This window comes from Homo sapiens, chromosome 14 (assembly GCF_000001405.40).
Source record: "Homo sapiens chromosome 14, GRCh38.p14 Primary Assembly".
NCBI classification, from domain to species: Eukaryota; Metazoa; Chordata; class Mammalia; order Primates; family Hominidae; genus Homo; species Homo sapiens.
The window spans coordinates 55,083,906-55,108,513 of NC_000014.9; the positions used below are offsets into that span (position 1 = coordinate 55,083,906).

Here is a 24,608-nt window from a genome sequence, read left to right on the forward strand (position 1 = left end):
TGCAGTGCATCAAGATCGTACCACTGCACTCCAACCTGGGTGACAGAGCGAGACCCCATCTCAAAAAAAAAAGAAAGCTTTTAGGGGTTATGGATATGTTCATTAACTTGATTATGGTGATAGTTTCATGGGTGTATACATGTCAAAACATGATATTCTATACTTTAAACGTGTTCAGTTTATACTGCATGTCAATTACTTCAATAAAATGGTCTTAAAAATCAGAGAATAGAATTTTCCAAAATAAACGGAGCATCTATTTAAAAAATAACAGCTAATATTTTTGAACATTTACTATATGCCAAGCCCTATGCTAGTTGAGAGTTATTACATGAAAGACATTCCTTTTCTCTTCCCAGTAACCTTAGGAGGAAGGTACTACTATTTTTATTAACTTCCCCAAGTAACTCACTCAAATCACATAAGCCAAATCATACAAGTAGATGCAAAAACAGAATTCAAATCCTGGACCATTTGACTTTACTACCTGAAGTCATAACCACTGTTAAGACCTGGTTCTGGGAGACCTAAAAGGAATTTGCACCTCCCTGCAACTTACAAGAGAGTAAATGAAGGTGAAAGAAAAGGAAAATTTAGTGAAGATGAACCTATCCTCTTGTTAGGTTCCAAGCTGGAACATTGACCCAATAGCATTGGCAATGCTCTTGACATGGGATCCTGTCAGGCCACTGGGGCAGTGGGAGGAAGGGAAGTCACTATCCAGACTGAAGGAGGACAAACTATGTGTGCTTGGTCCAGGTGAGCTCATCATTCAGGGCTCCAGCTTTTTCCATGGTAAAGACATTCAGAAGCAACTGAGCAAACATTTCAGCAATTCCAAGACAGGTTTTTAATTGAAAACCCTAAGGTTTAGAACCTGGGGAGAGTCCTTTCACTGTTCAGAATTCCCATTTCCTCATCTCTAAGATGGGGAAGTGGAACTAGATGTTGCTGTGGTTCCTCCTAGGTTTCATATGCTCTTTCATGCCTGTTTTTATGGTTTTTCCCAAAGCATATAAAGGCTCTGATGGGCATCTATGAAATGTCTAGTAGGGTGACTATACTCTTAGCAGCTCTGCTGACTACAAGAAAATGTACTGAGCTTACAAAGCAGCATCATTAAATAACTAAAAAGAAAATCATTATGTTTGGATGCCTTTATGTTAATAGTTACTTTTCTGATTATAAAAGTAATATATGTTAATTATAGACATTTTAGAAAATACAGACTGAGGAAAGAGTTAACACAGTAGGTCAGGTTGCATAACCTTGCAGGTCTCCAAGGGAACCATGATTAGCCCTTGGCCAATCACTGGGAATATAGTCCTTAGAGAGTTCTTTGTGTTATTGATTGGTGATTTTGTTATATACAACTGGAGCAACGAACCATGCCATACTGGTTTGTCAGGTTGCTTTCCATAAACACCAAGATTGAGGTTTCATTGTTAGGGTCCTGAGTTTTGCTTGCCATGGCTAATTGCATAGCAGGATATACTTACATTACCAGCTCCTCATAAAAGCCTTGGACTCTGAGATTCAGACAGGCTTTCATGGGCAAAGACATTCCACACATGTCCCTGTAGTTAACTGCTCGAGACAGCGAGTACTCCTGTGTGGCCTCAGACAACGAAAGACATTGGAAACCTGTGTTGAACCTCTCTGGACCCTGCTGATGCATGTCTTTTTCCTGCTGCTTTTGCTATGTATACTTTGCTATAATAAATCTTAGTAGTAAGTATATAACCTGCCATTGGTTCTTTTTTAAAATTTATTTTTGAGATAGGGTCTTGCTCTGCCACTCAGGCTGGAGTACAGTGGCAGGATCTTGGCTCACTGCAGCCTTAACCTCCCAGGTTCTAGTGAGCCTATTACCTCAGCCTCCCGAGTAGCTGGGACCACAGGTGTGTGGCACCACACCTAATTTTTTGTAGAGACAGGGTTTTGCCATGTTGCCCAGCCTGGTCTCGAATTTCTGGGCTCAAAGAATCCACCCTCCTTGGCTTCCTGAAGTACTGGGATTTCAGATATGAGTCACCACGCCTGGCCAACCAGTGAGTCTCGTCAGTCCTTCTGGTGCATTGCTGAATTAAACGCAAAGAAAAAAGAAAATATAAATGGCCAGGCATGGTGGCTCACGCCTGTAATCCCAGCACTTTGGGAGGTGGAGGCGGGCAGATCACGAGGTCAGGAGGTTGAGACCATCCTGGCTAACACGGTGAAACCCCGTCTCTACTAAAAATACAACAACAACAACAACAACAAAATTAGCCGGGCGTGGCGGCGTGCGCCTGTTGTCCCAGCTGCTGGGGAGGCTGAGACAGGAGAATGGCGTGAACCCAGGAGGCAGAGCCTGCAGTGAGCCGAGATCGCGCCACTGCACTCCAGACTGGGTGACAGAGCAAGACTCCATCTCAAAAAAAAAAAAGAAAAAGAAAAAGAAAATATAAATGAACCCAAATCCCTTCATCTAGAGATAACCATTTGGCTAGATGTAAAAATAGGTTTTGACCAGCCAAATTTTCTGAAAGTCCTTCTAAATTGTTAGGAAGCAAACAAACCTGCCAATTTTATTGATTATAAAAAGTTGCATTGTGGAGTACGGATTAAGTTTTATGGAAATCCCATATTAAGACTTAAAAAAAGGCCAGGCGCGGTGGCTCACACCTGTAATCCCAGCACTTTGGGAAGCCAAGGCGGGTGGATCACGAGGTCAGGAGATCGAGACCATCCTGGCTAACACGGTGAAACCCCGTCTGTACTAAAAATACAAAAAATTACCCGGGCATGGTGGGCGGGCACCTGTAGTCCCAGCTACTTTGGAGGCTGAGGCAGGAGAATGGCGTGAACCCAGTGCGTCCAGAATTGGTTCCTTCCCATGGGTTCTCGGTCTCGCTGACTTCAAGAATGAAGCCACAGACCCTCGTGGTGAGTGTTACAGTTCTTAAAGATGGTGTGTCCGGAGTTTGTTCCTTCAGATGTTCAGATGTGTCTGGAATTTCTTCTTTCTGGTGGGTTTGTGGTCTTGCTGACTTCAGGAGTGAAGCCGCAGACCTTTGCAGACCTTCACAGTGAGTGTTAACAGCTCACAATGGTAGTGCAGACCTAAAGGGTGAGCAGCAACAAAATTTATTGTGAAGAACGAAAAGAACAAAGCTTCCACAGCGTGGAAGGGAAGCCGAGAGGGTTGCCACTGCCGGCTTGGGTGGCCAGCTTTTATTCCCTTATTTGGCCATGCCCACATCCTGCTGATTGGTCCATTTTACAGAGTGCTGATTGGTCCATTTTAGAGTGCTGATTGGTGCATTTACAATCCTTTAGCTAGACACAGAGCGCCGATTGGTGCATTTACAATCCTTTAGTTAGACACAAACGTTCTCCATGTCCCCACCCGACCCAGAAGCTCAGCTGGCTTCACCTCTTACCAAGAGGCAGAGCTTGCTGTGAACCGAGATCACACCACTGCACTCCAGCCTGGGTGACAGAGTGACTCCGTCTCAAAAAAAAAAAAAAAAAGACTTAAAAAATAACTTTATTGTTTTAAATGACTGCCAAGATGTACTGAAGTTGCCTTTGTGGCATAATAATGCTTTCGTTGATGATTTTGTCCTCAATTTGGAATTTGGAACCCTTTTTTTTTTCGCTCTACACCTTCAGAGAAACTTCTCTAGTAAAAAAAAAAAAAAAACTATAGAAATGATCCCTAAAAGTACAGTCTTGGAACCCAACTTTTAAATTTGATTGATTCCTATGGGAAGAGATAGGACACTTTAGAAGAAATGTGTGATATACATTTATAATATACCCCAGGAATAGGTTGTAGTGAAAAACAGAGGCTGCCTGTCTCTGTACCTGAGAGTTTTGGGAGAGAAATGTGGGGGAGGAAAGTGAACTAAACTAGCTAGCTTTCCTCACTTTGTAAATTACCCTTCTGTGACAGCTTCCCACAATAATTTTAGTAACTACTAACTTTTATTGACTACCTACTCTGAGTGAGATACTATTCTAAGTGCATATGTTTTCTTGTTTAATCTTTACAACAGCCTATTCAGCAAATACTACTATTTTCTTTTTTTTCTTTTTTTGAGACAGGGTCTCACTTTGTCGCCCAGGCTGGAGTGCTGTAGCACAAAAACGGCTCACTGCAGCCTCCACCTCCTGGGCTCAAGTGGTTCTCCTGTCTCAGTCTCCTGAGTAGCTGGGACTACAGGCATGTGCCACCATGCCCGGCTAATTTTTGTATTTTTTGTAGAGACGGGGTTTCGCCATGTTGCCCAGGCAGGTCTCGAATTCCTGAGCTCAAGCGATCCGCCTGCCTCAGCCTCCCAAAGTGTTGGGATTACAGGTGTGAGCCACTGCACCTGGCCAAATACTACCATTTTCTCCCTTACACAAATGAAGAAACCAAGATTAAACATGATTAAGTAAAAGTTCATGAAACTAGTAAGTGGGGTGGGGCTGGGACTTAAACTGGAACCCAGAAGGTCAACTGCTATACATCAGGTCCCTTGATAGTTATTTAAATATGATGTCACTGACACAAAATAGGTTTTGGAGTTGGGTTTTGTATCAGTTAGGGTTCTCCAGAGAAACTGAACACATAGGGATACACACACACACTCAGATTTATTTTAAGGAATTGACTAACCCAGTTGTGCAAACTGGTAAGTCTGGAATCTGCAGAGCAGGCCAGCTTGCCAGAAATTCAGGGAAGAGTTAGTGTTGCCATCTTAAATTCAAAATCTGCCCTCTGGAAACTCAGGTAGGGCTTCTATATTTCAGTCTTGAGGCAGAATGGATTTTTTTCCAGGAAACCTCAGTCTTTGTTCTTAAGGCCTTCAACTTAGTGGATGAAGCCAACCCACATTATGAAGGGTAATTTGCTTTACTCAGAGTCTACTGATTTAAATATTCATCACATCTAAAACAATATCTTCAGCCAGGCGCTGTGGCTCATGCCTGTAATCCCAGCACTTTGGGAGGCCAAGGCAGGTATATCACGAGGTCAAGAGATCCAGACCATCCTGGCCAATGGGGTGAAACCCCGTCTCTACTAAAAATACAAAAATTAGCTAGGCATGGTGGCGTGCGCCTGTAGTCCCAGCTACTGAGGAGGTTGAGGCACGAGAATCTCTTGAACCTGGAAGGCAGAGGTTGCAATGAGCCGAGATCACGCCATTGCACTCCAGCCTGGCGACAGAGCGAGACTCCATCTCAAAACAAACAAACAAACAACAACAACAACAACAAAAAACAAATGGGCTGGACTTGGTGGCTAACACCTGTAATCCCAGCACTTTGGGAGGCCAAGGTGGGCAGATCACGAGGTCAAGAGATCGAGACCATCCTGGCCAACATGGTGAAACCCCGTCTCTACTAAAAATACAAAAAAAAAAAAAAAAAAAAAAAAATTTAGCCGGATATGATGGCACACGCCTGTAGACCCAGCTACTCGGGAGGCTGAGGCAGGAGAATTGCTTGAATCCAGGAGGTGGAAGTTGCAATGAGCTGAGATCATGCCACTGCACCCCAGCCTGGCGACAGAGTGAGACTCCGTCTCAAAAAAACAAAAAGCAAACAAACAAAAAAACAGTATATTCCCAGCAACATCTAGACTAGTGTTTGACCAAATGACTGGGCACCCTAGCCTGGCCATGTTGACGCATAAAATTAGCCATCACGGATTTCATTTTTCTTCTTGGAAGAGAAAGGGGAGGATGAATCCTCAAATGTGATTCACTCAAGACTGATAATAACCCCAAGATGAGCCTGCCGCAAGTGAAAAACCAGTCCTCATGGGTTGGCAATCCTTTAGCCACAGCCATGCAAGTGTAGCATTGGCCAGAAGAGGGCACTGCCTCCTACTCGTATGACTATGTACATGGAAACCAATAGGATGGATGGAGATTTGGATGCTACTTTCAATTAATTACCTTTTTTTTTTTTTTTTTTTTTGAGATGGAATTTCACTCTTGTCGCCCAGGCTGGAGTGCAATGATGCAATCTTGGCTCACTGCAACCTCTGCCTCCCAGGTTCAAGCAATTATCCTGCTTCAGCCTCCCGAGTAGCTGGAATTACAGGCATGCACCACCATGCCCAGCTAATTTTGTATTTTAGCTCGGACGAGGTTTCTCCATGTTAGCTAGGCTGGTCTCAAACTCCCGACCGCAGTTGATCCGCCTGCCTCGGCCTAATTATTATTTTTTACAGCCTCTGATTTAGCTTAGTACAACCTTTGATAGAATAAACGCCTGTGAAATTTTAGTATCACTGTGAGACCAAAGCACCTCATTGGCAATACTTAACATTTATGTTCAATAATGCAAGAAGGGCAGGGCACAGTGGCTCACACCTGTAATCCATGCACTTTGAGAGGCCAAGATGGGAGGATTGCTTGAGCCCAGGAGTTCGAGACCAGCCTGAGCAACATAGTGAGACCCCATCTTTTAAAAAAAGTTAAACATAATAATAAGAAGACATGGAATGATTTTATCCTTTGGCTTTCCTAGTGTGCTATATCTGGTCCAACAAGGCAGAGCCCAGTTTTTCCACATCAGGCAAACACAGGCTGATGCTGGGGGAAGGAGGAAGTTGGGGTATTTAGAGATTGAGAGAAGAAACTGGGAGGAACCCTAGACCTCCAGATAGCTGAGGAATCTTGTGACAAAATAGAGAGGACAGGTTTAGAAGGTTGCACTTTGTGTTGTGATTTGAGAGAATAATACTGCAGGCCCCTCTGGCAAAACAACGCTGCCTACCAGAGCAGTTCATCTAATCTGTGGATTCTTAATTGGAGGAGGGAATTCACATAAGTATAGTTATTCTTTAGTTCTCATTAATCATTAAAATCTCCCTCCTCCTCTGCTTCTGTTTTAATGACAGCCTACATTTGTGCAGTGCGAGTCTTTGTGGAAGGTTGTCCCATCCCACAAGGAACAGAGCAGGTACTAATTATTTCCAATTTACAGTTGAGGAGACACAGAGGGTAGGTGGTTTGCTTTGGCTTCCCTGTAAGCCAACCCTGGGAGGGGACCAGAAGCCTGGGGCCTGATTTTAGCCTTGTGTTCTTTCTCCTATCAAAAACATGTTCCTAACTCTCATACACTGCGATTTCCGGTGTCCACCAACTGACTGTATGCCTACACTGTGACACAGAAGTTCTACTTTTAGGAATCTGGCCAACAGAAATGCATGCACACGAGCACCAAAAGACAGGTACAAGATAGTTCATAATTTGTAATAGCCCAAACTGAAGAAAACCTCAAATTCCATCCACATAGAATGGATAAATACATGGTATATTTATATAATGGAATGCCATATAGTAATGAGAATAACAAGATCTATGTGCAATGTGAATAAATTCTACAAATACATTATATATAAAGTTCAAAAGCAGGCAAAATTAATATAAAGTTTTAGAATTTACACTTTGGGAGGCCGAGGTGGGTGGATCACCTGAGGTCAGGAGTTCAAGACCAGCCTGGCCAACATGGCAAAACCCCATCTCTACTAACAATACAAAAATTAGCCGGACATGGTGGCATGTGCCAATAGTCCTAGCTACTCGGGAGGCTGAGGCAGGAGAATCGCTTGAACCCAGGAGGCAGAGGTTGCAGTGAGCCGAGATCATGCCACTGCACTCCAGCCTGGGCGACAGAGCAAGACTTCATCTCAAAAAAAAAAAAAAATGTTTAGAATGTAGGTGAGTGTTTATAACCCACAGGACTAGTAACTGGGAGGGGAATGAGGGTGTTGGCTAGGGTGCCGCTAGTGTTCTACTTCTTGGCTTATGTAATGAGTTCAGTTTGTAAAAATTCACGAAGCTGTACACTGACGAGGTGTGCTCTTTGATGCATATATGTTACACTTCAATAAAAAGTTGTTTTAAATCCTGATTTGTTTACACAAATTACTTTTACATGAGCCGACTTTAATACTACCAAAACTTAGCTCATCCCTGCTTAAAGGTGCAGCAGGCTTATTTACTCTTATGCTCTGACAGAGAGCACACCAGCATTCCCCGAAGACTTTCTGAAGGGTTGTGAGAGCAGCTCAACATCTGCCATTGCATTTTGAGTGCAAGAATACATTTCAGGAGAGCTGCCACACAGGAAGTTCATCCTCTGCCTTTAATACTACAAACATATGCTCTTTCTGTGTGTCCAGAAAGTAAGGAAGAAGACAGTTTCTAAGTGGGCAGGCCAGATGCAGCAAACATCTCACACAAATGGCAAAGCTCAGAACTCACTACAGTCTCGACCTCCTGTGCTCTTGAATAGCTGGGACTACGGGTGCATGCCACCACACCTGGCTAAGTTGTAAACTTTTTTGTAGACACAAGGTCGCACTATGTTGCCCAGGCTGGTCTTGAACTCCTGGGCTCAAGCAGTCCTTCCATGTCGGCCGCCCAAAGTGTTGGGATTACAGGTGTGAGCCATCGCACCTGGCCCATATCCCACTTTTAACAGCCAATGGCACTAGTACTGTTTTCAGGAAAAGCAAGAAAGCCAACTCCTGCATCCTAATGGTGCAGATGGCACCTCCAGAGAAGACAGAGATGAGAAACGGAGCAGCAAACTAAAGCTGCTCAAAACTCCATGGCAGGCCGCGGTGAAGTCATAAATGGAACCAGATTTCCTGTTTCCCTAAGTACACCTGCTTCTCATTAGCTCTTACTGCTTTTTGCAGGACCAGCAGGCTTGAAAATATTAAAGGACAAAAGTACAACATATTCCTTCAGGGATTGGCTGTCTCTGTTCATGGCTACACACCACACATACACATAAAAAAAACACACATACACACACATATACACACATGTGCACACATACACCCACACACGTACACACGTACACACATATACACACACGCACACACGCACATATATGTAGACATTCACACACACACACACACACGCATGCACACATACCCACATAATACACACACATGCATATATACACAAAACATACACACATACACACACATACACACTGCTGGCTTGGACTGCTACTGCCACTTGAGCTCCTTGTATCCTCTATCTCACTGATTCTCTCCCATCCCACGAACAAAAGAGTAAAAATCCTGAAAAACATTGCTAGAAATCCACTTGCACACTTTCTCCAGCTAGATTGCTTTCGGAGGAGTTGACGCTCTTCCTCCCAGCGGACAGAGGGACACAGGATATGTGTCTGTAATTTTTGCACCTCTCCATGATGGGGCAGGGGGCAGTTTTCAGAACTCTGGCAGGCTGTGCCACAGGTGTGTCTTCAACCACACGTGCAGGATCATAGTGTGGGAACTGAGGCAGGCTGCTGTTCTGCCAGAGTCTAAAGGAGTCCTGGGGGCAGCAGAGATAGCTTGGAGTCTGCTTGCTTAATTGGGGCCCAACATCAGGAATTTTCTGCAGTGGCAATACTCAAAGCCAGGTAGATGGCACAAAGACATATACAAAGGTGTTCATTATAGCATTGTCATCAAAGAGAAAAAGAGAAACGACGAAAACATCCAGCAACAGGAAGTGTTAAATTATATATAATCAGCTGGGTGCGGTGGCTCACGCCTGTAATCCCAGCACCTTAGGAGGCTGAGGCAGGTGGATCACTTGAGGTCAGGAGTTCGAGACCAACCTGGCCAACATGGTGAAACCCCGTCTCTACTAAAATACAAAAATTAGCTGGGCATGGTGGCATGCGCCTGTAGTCCCAACTACTCCGGAGGCTGAGGCAGGAGGAGAATCACTTGAACCCGTGAGGTGGAGGTTGCAGTGAGCTGAGATCACAACACTGACCTCCAGCTTGGGCAACAGAGTGAGATTCTGTCTCAAAAAAAAAAATTATATATAATCATATACCATGGATTATCACACAGCCATGAAAAGAAATGAGGCAGCTCTATATTAACCACCATGGAAAGAAGTTTATGCTATGTTGTTAATGATAAAAGCAAGTTGGAGAAAACTACATATAGCATGATCCCATGTATGGATTAAAACAATTTGTATGTACACACAGGCACACACTATTTCACATGTTAGACTTGATAAGCTGATAGAAAAACATCTAGGAAGAAGGAGGAGGAGGAGGGGGAGGACGAGGGGGAGGAGGAGGGGGAGAAAGGTCTTGAAGGATACACACTAAACTATTATCAGGTTATTTCTGAGCAAGGGAGCGGAAGTGGGGGTCGGTGAGGGGAACTTTCCCATTTTGCCCTATTTATTTCTATGTTATTTAGGATGCACCAATAGTGCTTCCCCATAAAAACTATGGGGATGGAGTATGGAGGAGGCATGGAGGCACATTTGATGGGGATGTTAGCACAGCCAGAGGCTTCTGGGAGTCAGGGCCAAGGGCTGGAAAGCAGACTGCAAGCTGGGGGAGAGGATCTAAGCTCCTGACTATGCACCGCATGTCCTTTTCTTATTTTGTTTTCCCTTTCCTGGGTCTCTTTCCAAACCCAGGCAGCTAGAGAAGAACCCCTCCCTAGGAAACTCAGAGAGGATGGCTTGGCTTGGCCCCAGGCCTTAAGAAGAAACCTCTTCTTTCCCTTAGTGCCCATTTCCTTGTTTGTTTGTTTGTTTGTTTGTTTTGAGATACTCACAGACTGAGTACAGTGATGCAATCATGGGCCACTGCCACCTCGACCTCCTGGGCTCAAGAGATCCTCCCACCTCAGTCTCCTGAGTAGCTGGCACTACAGGCATGCAGTGAGACCCTGTCTCTACAAAAAAAAAAAAAAATTAGCCAGGTGAGGTGGTACGTGGTAACGTGTTGTGCCACTATATTACAATAGCTATGATGTCACTAGGCAACATAGTGAGACCTCAAACTCCCGATGCAAGTGATCCTCCTTCCTCAGCCTCCCGAAATGTTGGGATTACAGGCATATGTCACCTTGCCCAGCCTTCCTTGAGGTTCTCTTCCTGTGCCTTTTGCTATCAGAGCAAAAGATCTCCAGGAGCTGAGGAAAACAGGCTACAATAATTTGGCTGACTTCCAGTGGAGACCACTTGTTTTCTACCCAGACTCCTCCTTAGAATTGCCTGGGGAGCTTTTAAAGAATACGTAAGCCTCACGCTTAGTCATGCATCACTTATAAGAGACAGGGATGTGTTTTGAGAAATGCATTGTTAGGTGATTTTGTCATTAGATGAACATCACAGAGTTTATTTACACAAACTTAGATGATATAGCCTACTACACAGCTAGGATACACTATAAAGCCTATTCTTGCTCCTAAGCTATAAACCTATACGGCATGTTACTGTACTGAACACTGTAGGCTATCCTAACACAATGGTATTTGTGTATCTAAACACATCTAAACATAGAAAAGGTAATGCGTCATGCTACTACATTACAATAACTATGACGACACTAGTCAATAGGAATTTTTCAGCTCCATTATAATCTTATGGGGCAACCATCATATATGTAGTTCATTGTTAACCGAGATGTCATTTATGCTGCTTAGTGTATAGACATATACACTGAAGTATAGAATAAATGTTTTGTTATTTTAGCAAATATCCAATGCTGGATAAATCGAACGTTTCTTTTATTCTGGAATGAGTGTAAATTGGTTAAGAACCCTTTGAAAAGCAATTTGACAATACCAAAGTCTAAAATGTTTTTTAATTTTTATTTTTGAGATAGGGTCTAGCTCTGTCACTTGGGCTGAAGTACAGTGTCATGATCACGGCTCACTGCAGCCTCGACCTCCCAGGGTCAAGCGACCCTCCTAACTCAGCCTCCTGAGTAGCCAGGACTGCAGTCACGTGCCATGATGCCCTGCTAATTTTTTTTTTTTTTTTGTAGGGATGGGGTTTCACCATGTTGGGCCAGGCTGGTCTTGAACTCCTGGCCTCAAGCGATCCTTCCACCTCAACCTCCCAAAGTGCTGGGATTATAGGCATGAGCCCCCTTGCCCAGCCAAAAATATTTTCATACCATTTTGTTCAGCAATAAAACTTCTGGGAATTTTTCCTAAGGAAATATTTTTTAAAGAAAATATATGTGACAGTTGCTCTCATTATGATTCCTTTTATAATTGCTAAAAATTGGAAACAAATTAAACCTTCAACAAATGGCAGGTGCTTACTACATTGGACATTTTGCAGCAATTAAAACTGTAATGGAAATTTGTAATAATATGTAAAATATACTGATAATGAACTGGTAACCTTTCTTTTTTGGACTTAAGTGCTTTTGTGCTTTTATGAAAGTTCATTTCAAAGGAAAGAATAGGCTGGGCGCGGTGGCTCACACCTGTAATCCCAGCACTTCGGGAGGCTGAGGTGGGTGGATCACCAAGTCAGGAGTTTGAAATCAGCCTGGCCAACACAGTGAAATCCTGTCTCTACTAAAAATACAAAAATTAGCTGGGCATGGTGGCTTGTGCCTGTAGTCCCAGCTACTCAGGAGGCAGAGGCAGGAGAATTGCTTGAAACCAGGAGGCAGAGGTTGCAGCAAGCCGAGATTGAGCCACTGCACTCCAGCTTGGGCGACAGAACGAGATTCTGTCTCCAAAAAAAAAAAAGAATAAGCATGCTTAGACTTCATCCCAGTCTAATAATCTAATTAAGCCAAAACTCAGGGAGTAGGGGCTGGTCATTCGTATTTATTATTTATTTATTTATTTTTTATTTTATGTTTTTGAGATGGAGTCTCACTCTGTTGCCCAGGCTGGAGTGCAATGGCATGATCTCAGCACATTGCAACCTCCGCCTCCCAGGTTCAAGCAATTCTCATGCCTCAGCCTCCAGAGTAGCCGGGATTACAGGTGCCCACCACCATGCCAGGCTAATTTATTTTGTATTTTTAGTAGAGGTGGGGTTTCACCATGTTGGCCAGCTGGTCTCGAACTCCTGACCTCAAGTAATCTGCCTGCCTCGGCCTCCTAAAGTGCTGGGATTACAGGCGTGAGCCACCGCACCCAGCCCTATTTGTTTTTTAAAAATTTGTTTTAACACAGCAAAATTTCATCATGAAATGTTGGTAGTTTTTAAAGTTCCCCAGATGATTCTAATTGAAGCCAAGATTGCGAGACAACCATTAGCCTTGGATCCAAATAAGAACCTCCCCCACAAGTTCAGCTGTGGCCCAGTCTAGATTGTTTGGGTGGAGTTCTAAGTGGGGTATTAAATGGTCTCTTTCCCTAGACTTGTCACCTGCACATACCTCTCAAGGAGTAGTGGGGCCAGTGGTGGCCCCAGTAGGAGGCTAATCGTAAATTTGGGATCACGGCCCGAATAGTTATACATCTTACCACAGCCAGCGGCAGGTAGACTCATTAGGAAGTAGGTGTTAAAATAATCTAGGTAAAAGTCAGTGAGGGCTCGACCAGGGTCAGGGCAGCAGAGGAAGGCAGGCAGAGGCAGAACCCGCACCACTGAGCAGCTGAGGAAATCTAGGATCTACAGAGTTGGAACCAAATTCCGGAATGAATCTGGCCTGTTGTGGAGGGGATCCCAGCCCTACAGAGGCCCTGGTTGCCTGCCCGCTAGTATCTGCACAGTCTTGCTAGAGGGGATAAAAGCAGAAAGCTTAGAGGGTTTGCACTAGGAGATCCTGGCAAGAGATGCTGGTGTCTACAGGGCTCTTTAGAAGAAGGTGCTACAGCCAATTTGCTGTTGGACCAAAGGAAACAAACTAAAATTGAATAGGAAAGAGAAGAGTCAGGAGAGCAAAAGAGGTCCATCAGAAAAAGATAATGATCCCTTTATGGCCCAACATTCTGTGACCTCAGGGAAGAGTGACACAGGTGATGTGGCACTACTGGTGAGGCAGCAAGGAGCCCCCTGCTCATCAAAGTCCTTCTCCCCCCAGCTCCCTATTGCCTGTAATTCCACTATTGGGTCAATTCTATTTGGATTAATAAGCATCGCTCATTCATTATTGTCATCTGCTAAAACACAGATTCCTGAAAGGACTAACAATTTGATTAGCAACAATTTAGTGGAATTGGTTTATGATGTATTCAGCCAGTGTGAGTGCCTACTCACTAGGAAGTCAGATACAATAGAAACAAGAACTTGTCAAGGTGACTAAGAAGACTCGATTCAATTCAGAAGTATCTACTAGACATTTCCTGGTCACCTGACAAGGTAGGAAAACAGAAAAATGCATGATACTGTCACCTCCCTCAAGGAGCTTTTAGCCTTGTTGGGAGGAATTCAAGCACACCAAAGCCACAGACAGAACAAGCAACTGCTTATTAAACTGTTAACATAGTCAAGGGCCAACATGAAGAGCAGAGCTAAATGCCTTCATGTCAAAGAGCCTTTTCAGAAGCTCTCATGATTGAATCACACTGACCCTTTTCATTAGGGAGCCTGGAAAATAAGCTATTACAACCCCACTGTTATCGAAATATTAACCTGGGTGTAACTTCCTGGTTCTAAGGAACCATAGTTTCTACCCTGCACCAGAAGTCTTGCCTTTGCACTACTGAGAGTCATTAATAAGCGTTTCAGTGTGTGTAGGAGCCCACCTACCTTCTCTCTTTGTCCTCCCAACTCTGGCCATGTGCCACATCTTCTGGGTTGGCTGAGTAGTTTCACATTTACTAATCACCCACAAGACACATGGTTCCTGTCTATCTCAGTCATGCTCACAAGGAACCCTCGTGAGGAAACCTCACAAGCTCCTGTCTCGGGCTGTCACTGGAAGACAGGACTGTAACCATCAAGAAATTGGAAAAAAAGAAGCAAGATTTAGGCAGGGCATGGTGACTAGTGCCTGTAACCCCAGCACTTTGGGAAGCTGAGGCAGGAAGGATTGCTTGAGTCTAGAAGTTCGAGACCAGCCTGGGCAACATAGCATGAACCCATCTCTACCAAAAAAAAAAAAGAAAGAAAGAAAGAAGGAAGCAGCAGCAGAAGAAGCAGAAAAAGAAACAGAAGAAGAAGCAGAAGAAGAAGTGGAAGAAGCAGCAGAAGCAGAAGAAAGGAAAGAAGTATGGGCCAGGTGTGATGGCTCATGTCTGTAGTCCCAGCACTTTGAGAGGCCAAGGCAGGTATATTGCTTAAGCCTAGGAGTTTGAAACCAGTCTGGGCAACATGGTGAAACCCCACCTTTACAAAAATTACAAAAATTACAAAAATTAGCCAGGTATGGTGGTGTGCTCCTGTAGTCCTCGCTACTCTGGAGGCTGAGGTGAGAGGATCACTTGAACTTGGAAGGTGGTGGCTGCAGTGAGCCATGGTCAACCACTACACCCCAGCCTGGGCACAGAATGAGACCTTGTGTCAAAAAAAAACAAAACAAAACAAAACAAAAAAACAAAAAAAAAAACTATAAGTCACAAGGGTGTATCTATTTATAAAAAATTGTTGAATTGTATACTTAGGACTTGTGCATTTCTATATATATAAATTTTACCTTTAAAAATGTGAGCAGGCCAGGCACGATGGCTCATGCCTGTAGTCCCAGAGCTTTGGTAGGCCAAGGCAGGCGGATCACCTGAGGTCAGGAGTTTGAGACCAGCCTAGCCAACATGGTGAAACCCCATCTCTACTAAAAATACAAAAAATTAGCAGGGCGTGGTGGCAGGCACCTGTAGTCCCAGCTACTCGGGAAGCTGAGGCAGGAGAATTGCTTGAACCCAGGAGGCAGAGGTTGTGGTGAGCCAAGATCACACCATTGCACTCCAGCCTGGGCGACAAGAGCGAGACTTTGTCTCAAAAAAAAAAAAAAAAAAAAAAGGTTAGCAAATTGAACTCTGGTTAGGTTTACTTTTAGCAGTGCTATGGACTAGCAATTCTGAAACTACATTCTGTGTATTCTTGAGCTTAAGTCTAAGGGGAACCAGATTTTTCACTGTTGGGGAAAGAAGTTACAAATATGGAAAGTTTATTACATTGGAACTGGAGTTAATCAGTAGGAATTCATATTTTCTAATATACATCTATGTCTCTATAGCTATTTCTGTGTGTATATATGTGTGTGTATAATCTATTGCCTAATCCTGTCTGCTGACAGGGCCTACAAGCAACGACACACCAATAGGAATGAGCATGTAAGCACCCAGGTCTTGGTTTCTAAATATCATGCTTCACTAAAGGAACCAGGGATCCTTGAGAAATGGTTTATTCCAAAGCTGGAGCAGGAAAAGCTGGAGAGGATTAGCCTGAAACATCTTGTGCCAAAATGTAAGGAAGTGCTCCAAGAAAAATGGGATGTTGTAAGGACTCAGAAGCCAGTTTGGAGAGACTCCTAACTGGCCGAATCTGAAACAATTTAAGTATCAAAATAAATAATATTTGTAATGGGCCTTATCCCGTTGAATAAAATAAGAATCCATATAGATATAAATAAATAAATGCATTTTTTTAAATGGGAGGGGAAATCTCTCTTTTTAAATTTTCTTTTTTTTTTTTTTTTTTGAGACAAGGTCTCATTCTGTTGCCCAGGTTGGAGTGTAGTGGCACAATCATAGCTCACTGCAGCATTGGTCTCCTGGGCTCAAGTGTTCCTCCCACCTTAGCCTCCCGAATAGCTGGGACTACAGGCATGTACCATCATGCTTGGCTAATTTTTGTTTTAAATTATTTGTAGAGACAGGGTCTCACTATGTTGCCCAGGCTGGTCTCAACCTCTTGAACTCAAGTGATCCTCTTGCCTTGGCCTCTCAAGGTGCTAGAATTACAGGTGTGAGCCGCTATGCCTGGCGGAAATCTCGTCATTACAGTAGAATGCCAACTAATAAATATAGAAGGAATGACGAAGGGAGAAAATCATCAATGAATGCTAAAACTGGTGAGTACATGTTTGATAAGAAATAGGATAATTATACAGTTGCAAAGTATGCTGCCACAAATTACTTATTTGTTACAAAGGAAAAATAATAACTCCACAGTAGCAGACACCACTTTAATCAAGTCATCAAACTTTACGTCACTATATTGGCATAAACCAATATCCAATATCCAATATCATGTGCCTTCCAGTAAGATGCTTGGAGAAGGAAAATAAACAGACCTGGCAACAAAATGCTGTTGTGTGATCTTGGACACAGGAAAAACAAGTAAAAGCCTTGTTAGGGCAATGGATGAGATAGATAGTAGTACTGTATTAATACTTAATTTCCTGATTGTGTTAACTGTACCATGTAAGAAAATGTAAGGGAATATAAGAGAGTGTCTTTGTTCTTGGAAAATGCACACTGAAGGCCAAAGTGGGAGGATTGTCTAAGGCCAGGAGTTTGAGACCAGCTTGGGCAATATAATGAGACCCCATTTCTGGAAAAAATATGTAAAACTTTACCAGGCACGGTGGCAAGTGCCTGTAGTTCCAGCTACTTGGGAGGCAGAGGCAGGAGGATCACTTGAGCCCAGGAGTTTGAGGTTACAGTAAGCTAGGATTGTGTTATTACACTCCAGCCTGTGGGACAGAGTGAGACCCTGTCCCAGCACCCCCCATTTTTTTTTTTAGAGACAGGGTCTCTACAAAACAATAGAAGGAATTCCTATAATCCTTTATCCAGAGTCACTGATGGTTTGCATTTTTGTCTTTTTTGTCCCAGCACTTTGGGAGGCTGAGGAGGGTGGGTCACGAGGTCAGGTGATCGAGACCACCCTGGCTAACACGGTGAAACCCCATCTCTACTAAAAATACAAAAAATTAGCCGGGTGTGGTGGCACCTGCCTGTAATCCCAGCTACTCGGGAGGCTGAGGCAGGAGAATCACCCGAACCCAGGAAGCAGAGGTTGCAGTGAGCCGAGATTGTGCCACTGCACTCCAGCCTGGGCAACAGAGTGAGACTCCATCTCAAAAAAAAAGAAAAAAAAAAAGCACACTGAAGTTTTCAAGTTACTTTTTATTTTTTTTGAGACAGGTCTCGCTCTGTTGCCCAGGCTGGAGTATAGTGGCACGATCATGGCTCACTCTGCAACGCAACCTCAACCTCCTGGGCCTAAGTGATCCTCCCACCTCAGCCTCCTGAATAGCTGGGACCGCAGGCACATGCCACCACGTCCAGCTAACTTTTTTATTTTGGGTGGAGACAGGGGTCTCCCTATGTTGCCCAGGCTGGTCTCAAACTCATGACCTCAAGCAATCCTCCTGCCTTGGCCTCCCAAAGTGCTGCAATTACAGCCATGAGCCACTGTGCTCAACCAACAATTTACTCTTAAATGTTGCTATATATACATATATATATCACACATACATATTTATGGATAGAGAATGTTAAGACAAAAATGGAAACCATCAGTGACTCTGGATAAAGGATTGTAGGAATTCCTTCCATTGTTCTTGTAATTTTTCTGCAACATTGAAATTATATCAGATTAAAAGGCCCTCCTCCAACAAAGCAAACAAACCTATGAGTGTGGCCAGGAATCAGGCAACACTTTGGCAAGAGCAACCGGGAGGCCTGTGCTTCCTGCTGGGGCCAGAGCCAGCCCCAAATACGTCCACCCAGGGCCTGCAGGAGGGCATGAATAGCGACCCTGTAGGGTAGGCCTGGTTGGCAAGAGCACGTATTATGCAAATTCTGTCAACAACTAGACCACAAGCTGGGTTGCAGTTCCTGGCAGAACTCATTATGTCCTTAGAGCAGAGAGGCCTTACAGCTGTTTCGTGTTAGATGATTCACAGACAACGTGCAGCAAACCGAAGAATCATTGGTGAATGTGTGAATTGCATTTGCATTTCATCTCTTTTCATAAAAATTATTGTTTAAGTCTGCTTTTGTTACAGCTCACTAATAAATGGAGTGTATTTGCATTTTTGCAAGGAGGCCTGAATTTTTAACACCTAATCATCTTTACCAAAGAGCAAGAATCGGCTAAAGTTTTCCCATTTAGTAAGAGTAGTAATTAAGACATACACCTTCCCTAAGCAATTCCTTTTCAAAAAGGAGCACACATTTAAAGATAACTCATTAATATCTCTTCTGAGGCTGTTTATCCAGTTTTGTCATGGCTCTAGAGCACAGGAATCTTTTTTTCTCCTCCATCTCTTTTTTAGCCAGTCTCTGAGAATCTCTGAGTTGCTAAGTATTATTTATTTCTTCCATTTTACCCCCAGGAGCTTAGCCATTTTTGATTTTTTGGCTTCGTTTTTTGAGCAACTTGAATGTCCCACACATCAAAGGCCAATTAGCTAAAAGACAGGCTTCTTCACACAACCCCTAGTTGATATCAACCTGTCTTTTTCTCAAAGCAACAGGAAGCCAGGTGGCCAGCTCTAAAACCAATCCCACCACATAACGTTTTTCCTAACCTCTGACTTACACCTCCGGGTTATGCCTGGTTAACCTTCTCGTTTTCCTCCTGGGGCCAAGAGTGAGCTGCTGAGGAGTGAAACAGACAAAGATTCACGTTCCTCTCCGGCCGCCTATGGGGAGCAGTTTCCAAACTCCCATCCCGGATCACGCAGGGGCGGGGCAGTGCTAGCCTGGGGAGCACCTGGCCGACATGACTGAAGAGGCCCTGCCCCAGAAAGGCCTCAAAAACACTCGTTAAAGCTAGGGCTGAGTCATCTGGGTGTGGAGGCTGTCGGGTCACATTCTTGAAACATAACAGGCAAACAGGACAGGCAGAGAACATCTAGACTGTGGATTCTGTAAAGCTTTTTCAAGGCCAGTTCACAGAAGCATTCCCTACTCTGTGAGCGTGAAATATAAAGGTGAATGCAGCCCCAGTGCCAGCACATAAGGCCAGTCAGTGCTATACAGGGTCAGCTTAGCCCTGGGCTGACCCTTAAGATCAGGAAAAAGTTATGGGGCAGTGACTTCTCAGCAAGTCTTTTCCATGTTTCTGGTGTCTTCGAATTCCTAGCTGAACAGAATTTATCAAAGCAGAAGGTAGCTGTTTATACCCCAGTTTACCCAGGCAAAGAGAAATGCTTTGGAATTGAGATATTTTCAGGGCATGAGTGGTTTAGATCTCTGAAACTGGAAGACGAAAATCCAGGTTATTAGAGATCAGCAGCACCTGAGAGGCAGGCTTCCTGGCACCTGAAGACTCACAGACAAGCCTTGGTAGCCTGGCTTGTTTTCCTTGCAGTTCAAAACCATTTCTTTGAGGTCATGATCTGAAAGGGGACACTGGACCCTGAGACCTAAATTCTGGTCCCTATGAGTAAATGCTTCAGACAGATCAAGTTGGGGAGCTTCCACTGAAAAACACTGAGACTAACACCCTGGTGTGACAGCCACACCTGTCTCCAAAGTGTACACACCACCCCACCAGGACATCACCAACCTGACATTTAATTAGCAATGAGACACTTGTTTTCACTCCTGTGGTCAAAGAATGGGGAAATAGATGCTTTCTGTCTCCTTGCCTTTGGTTATTTTTCTCCTACTTCCTGAGCTGGGCTGGGAGCAACAGAAAAGAGAAGGAAGGAGAAACCCAGCAAGGCAAGAGCAGCTCCTTCCCTTCTTTGACACATTTATGTTCTGCTCCTATAGTGGTGGAAGCAGGAAGTAGGGTGACTGGCCTGCTCCACTCACATTCTGATCATTTTCTCTACAAGGCAAGGATGGCTAGCACCTCCAGTTGTGTGGAATGCTTCTATCAGGGGCCTGTGTACGGTATCATTGACATCTGGAATGTCTCATTCAAGCAATGAGGGCCACGTGTGGTTGTGGATGGTGAGATAAAAATTCATCTTTGCCTCTGGAAAAACAGTCAGAAGGCATGCCTTCCTGAAGGCGGGCATATCCTCTCTAAATCCAGCATATTGTATAGCATTATGGAATAGAGCAGAAAAGAAACCTAACATTTGGCTGGGGGCTGGCTAACTGTACTGGAAATTTTAGCTATCTTCTCAATCTGCCACCAACTCTGAGGCAGATGGCCTTGTACCCGTTTTACAGACAAGGCAACTGGGGCTGTGGATTTGGCAAGGCGCTAGTTGCAGGACCTCAGGTAACTGGCAGAGTTAGGATGTGAACCTAGGTTGCTATCTACTCATCAAGCCTGTGTGTTCTCCATGGGACCAGGCATGCTGTGCTTGACTTTTCCACTGGTTCGACATTCAGGTCATTTGTTCATCCCTGGTCACCTACCACTTCTTCAGTTTTCCATGATTTCTTGAAGACTGCCAGGAGTGATTGTGAGGTCACTGGTGATTTGAATTTCATCTTTTTAATACATTTGATTTGAATTTTATATTTAAATATACTTGGATTTGATTTAAAAATTTTTTTTAACTATAATTAAAAACAGCCTAGGTATGGTGGCTCATGCCTATAATCCCAACACTTTGGGAGGCTGAGGTGGGAGGATCACTTGAGCCCAGGAGTTCAGGACCAGCCTGAGCAATGTAGGGAGTCCCTATCTCCATTATTTTTATTATTTTATTATTTTTATTTTTTAAAACTAGAGATGGGGGTCTCACTGTATTGGCCAGGCTGGTCTCAAACTCTTGGGCTCATGTGATCCTCCTGCCTCAGCCTCCCGAAGTGCTGGGATTATAGGAGTATGCCACTGCACCCAGCCTCCATTAAAAAAAATTTTTTTTCTTTAACCTGGTGGTTCATGCCTGTAATCCGAGTACTTGGGGAGGCCAAGGCGGGTGGATCACTTGCGGTCAGGAGTTCAAGACCAGCCTGGCCAACATGGTGAAATTCCTCTCTACTAAAAAAAAAAAAAAAATACAAAAATTAGCCAGGCATGGTGGCAGACACCTGTAATCCCAGCTACTTGGGAGGCTGAAGCAGGAGAATCACTTGAACCTGGGAGGCTTAAGAGACTCTGTCTCAAAAGAATAAACAAAAATGAAAATAAAAAAATTTAAAAACCTATAACTGAAAACACAATGTGTTGCTGTGCTAGGTACCAAATTATAATAATGCTGGCACATAACTTTTGCTGGCAGTCTTTTGAGCAAATCTTGGATTGAAGCTTTCTGGGCCCTTCCTTCTTTCCTCCCTGCCTCTCTCTCTGTCCCTCTCTCTTTCACTGACTCTTTCAGCTAACAGGACATTGAAGTATAATTAATCTACAGCAGAATGCACAATTCTTAAGCGTATAGCTCATGAATTTTCCCACATATATACTCCATATAATCACTACGTATAACAAGATATAGACAGTGTCCAACACTCTGGAAAGTTTCCTTGTGTCCCTTCCAAGTCAAGAGCACCGCCTCTTGTTACTATTCTTACTTCCATCATCAAAAATTACTGAGTTGTGCCACTGATTAGGAAGGTTAGGGGTCTGCCCTGGCCTTTTCTATCTGTTCCTGCGACAATGTTCCCGAGAAGACAACTGCTGCACAAGGCTCAGGATTTTTGGTTCATATTCTTGTCATGCCTCAGTTGTGCATTCACGAGCGATGTGTAACCCACCCTGAGGCTCTACTGCTTATGAAAAGTTTTGAGTATTTTGTGTTTTGTGTCCAACTTTTTATTTAGGACAAGAAATTTAATAGTCTTTTTTTGTTTGTTTGTTTGAGACAAGGTCTTCCTTGGTCACCCAGGCTGGAATGCAGTGGCACGATCTAGGCTCACTGCAGCCTCGACCTCCCAGGCTCAAGTGAGGTCAAGTACCTTCAGCCTCCCAAGTACCACATCCAGTTAATTTATAAACTTTTTTGCACAAAGTCTCACTATGTTGCCCAGGCTGATCTCAAACTTCTGGACTTAAGTGATTCTCTTGCCTTGGTCTCCCAAAGTGTTGGGATTACAGGCATAAGCCATGGCATCCAGCTTCAGTGGTCTTAATAATTCACTTTGAAAGTTAAAAAACGTTCTGGTATTCCTTTTCCAAATTGGATCAGTTTTAAGATGAGATAAATGACAAGGCAAGCTGTTTTTAAATATGTGTTTATCTTTTGCAACTAAAACAATATGAAGTAAATTAAATGCTGAGCTTGATAAAAGATTGCAATGGTTATGCCTGTATTATTTCAAATTTTGGTGTTCATCAAAATGGTAATTTTTCTCATAGATTGACTTTATGAGAAGTGAATGCTAAATGAATTTTAACTTAAATGTAGATTCATAAATTATTTCTTTTGTGTTTTTATCTTTTATTGTTTTTTGAGACAGAGTCTCACTCTGTTGCCCAGGCTGGAGTACAGTGGCTTGATCTCGGCTCACTACAACCTCCACCTCCTGGTTCAAGTGATTGTCCTGTCTCACCCTCCCCAGTAACTGGGATTACAGGCGCCCACCACCACACCCAGGTAATTCTTGTGTTTTTGTAGAGGTGGGGTCTCGCCATGTTGTCCAGGCCGGTCTGGAACTCCTGGCCTCAAGCGATCTGCCCGCCTCAGCCTCCCAAAGTGCTGGGGTTACAGGCGTGAGCCACTGCGCCCGGCCTCCTTGGTATTTTTATGTCTATTTTTTTAGATGGAGTCTCGCTCTGTCCCCCAGGCTGGAGTGCAGTGGCGCGATCAGCTCACTGCAACCTCCACCTCGCGGGTTCAAGCAATTCTCCTGCCTCAGCCTCCTGAGTAGCTGGGATTACAGACGTCCATCAACACGCCCAGCTAATTTTTGTATTTTTAGTAGAGATAGGGTTTCACCATGTTGGCCAGGCTGGTCTTGAACTGCCTACCTCAGGTGATCCACCCACCTTGGCCTCCCAAAGTGCTGGGATTACAGGCGTAAGCCACCTGCGCCTGGCCGGTATTTTTAAATTAGAGTTCTTCTAAGATTTATCTGAAAAAGTTACACTACTAAAAAATTTGCAACCCACACCCAAGGACATAATTTGTCTGGGCATAGAGACTTGATGGCACTTCAAGTAGCTGGATGAGCTTCTCTTAACATGCGATTTCTCTCAGGTTTACATTCTTCTTGACTGCCCTTGTTCCTTTCCTATTCTATTTGAAGCAAAATGGTTAACGTTCTTCCACTTTCACCAGGACAGCCCTATTTGCCCCTTCCTTGTCCTTGTTAGCCTGGTTTTATAAAGCCTCTTTTGCAGGGGTCGGAACAGTTAATAGCATTGGGGATTGTCGCTTGTTCCCTGTAGATGAAAAGTATTTTTCTATTGTTTAAAAAAAAATCGAGGTCATTCTCCAAAGTAATTTCCTGAAATAAAGCGTGGGAGGAAGTCATGGGCATGAGGATGAGTCATCAGGCAGCAGCACGAGGCTGCAGGCGTGAGCTGGGGAGCCCTGGCTCAGTCCTCCGCAGGCTTGGATCCCTGAGCGGAGCAGGCCACTGGGGCCTTCTGCCGTGAGAAGAGACCTACTGAGAGGCGGGGAGTGGGGGTGGGAGTGGTTGCTTCTGACCTGTAGGACAGTGGTCAGCGTGGGCGGGTGGAGGCACAGGAGAAGGCCGACAGGCCCTGGGTCCTAGGGCCACTCAGCTGCTGGAAAATGAAGTTCAGAGTTGTTTGGACTGTCTGAAGTAGGATAGAACCAGCCTTAGCCCTAGTTAGGTAACACATGGCAGAGGCACCTGAGCAAAGACGTGAGCTGGACCATGGGCTTCCTGGCAGGACTTCCACGGAGGAGGGCGAGGGGAGAGGAGCAAGGGAGCAGAAGGCAGCTTGCCGTCCACGAAGCCTCCTGAGGCCCCAGATGAGTCACCAGACAACAGCCTGTCTACTTAAAGCAACTGCTGGGCAACTGCTGAGTAGAACAGTCCCTAACCACATGAACACTGGGGAGGAGGTTCTGAAAGACGCTGCTGGGTGCAAGGT

At 44.2% G+C, this 24,608-nt stretch overlaps 1 long non-coding RNA gene across 2 annotated transcripts, besides 5 other annotated features; it reads right to left on the bottom strand.

The window, feature by feature from the left end:
• Nucleotides 1–826: 826 nt before the first annotated feature.
• On the bottom strand, nucleotides 827–19,424 carry LOC124903318 (uncharacterized). 2 transcript variants are annotated; one of them, XR_007064178.1, is made up of 3 exons: nucleotides 19,236–19,424; nucleotides 10,598–10,717; nucleotides 827–3,102 (listed from the first exon to the last, which is right to left on the bottom strand). It is a non-coding gene; the product is annotated as an uncharacterized LOC124903318 (long non-coding RNA). The 2 variants fall into 2 exon arrangements; XR_007064177.1 differs by having other exon boundaries at nucleotides 19,225–19,424.
• Nucleotides 14,799–14,898: an enhancer, noted in NCBI's record as "active region_8425". NCBI's record gives its function as "activates an Ori minimal core promoter by ATAC-STARR-seq in GM12878 lymphoblastoid cells {active_cell/tissue: GM12878}" and the evidence as "EXISTENCE:reporter gene assay evidence [ECO:0000049][PMID:35858748]".
• Nucleotides 19,092–19,770: a transcriptional cis regulatory region, noted in NCBI's record as "candidate enhancer chr14.836 targeted for multiplex CRISPR interference". NCBI's record gives its function as "positively regulates LGALS3 gene expression with high confidence in K562 cells {active_cell/tissue: K562}" and the evidence as "EXISTENCE:mutant phenotype evidence [ECO:0000015][PMID:30612741]".
• Nucleotides 19,246–19,540: an enhancer, noted in NCBI's record as "tiled region #8345; HepG2 Activating DNase unmatched - State 1:Tss, and K562 Activating non-DNase unmatched - State 5:Enh". NCBI's record gives its function as "activates a minimal TATA promoter and a strong SV40 promoter by Sharpr-MPRA in HepG2 and K562 cells {active_cell/tissue: HepG2 | K562}" and the evidence as "EXISTENCE:reporter gene assay evidence [ECO:0000049][PMID:27701403]".
• Nucleotides 23,409–24,608: an enhancer, noted in NCBI's record as "P300/CBP strongly-dependent group 1 enhancer chr14:55574032-55575231 (GRCh37/hg19 assembly coordinates)". NCBI's record gives its function as "activates an origin of replication core promoter dependent on BRD2, BRD4, P300/CBP, MED14 and CDK7 cofactors, with strong dependence on P300/CBP, by STARR-seq in HCT116 cells {active_cell/tissue: HCT116}" and the evidence as "EXISTENCE:reporter gene assay evidence [ECO:0000049][PMID:35650434]".
• Nucleotides 24,155–24,254: an enhancer, noted in NCBI's record as "active region_8426". NCBI's record gives its function as "activates an Ori minimal core promoter by ATAC-STARR-seq in GM12878 lymphoblastoid cells {active_cell/tissue: GM12878}" and the evidence as "EXISTENCE:reporter gene assay evidence [ECO:0000049][PMID:35858748]".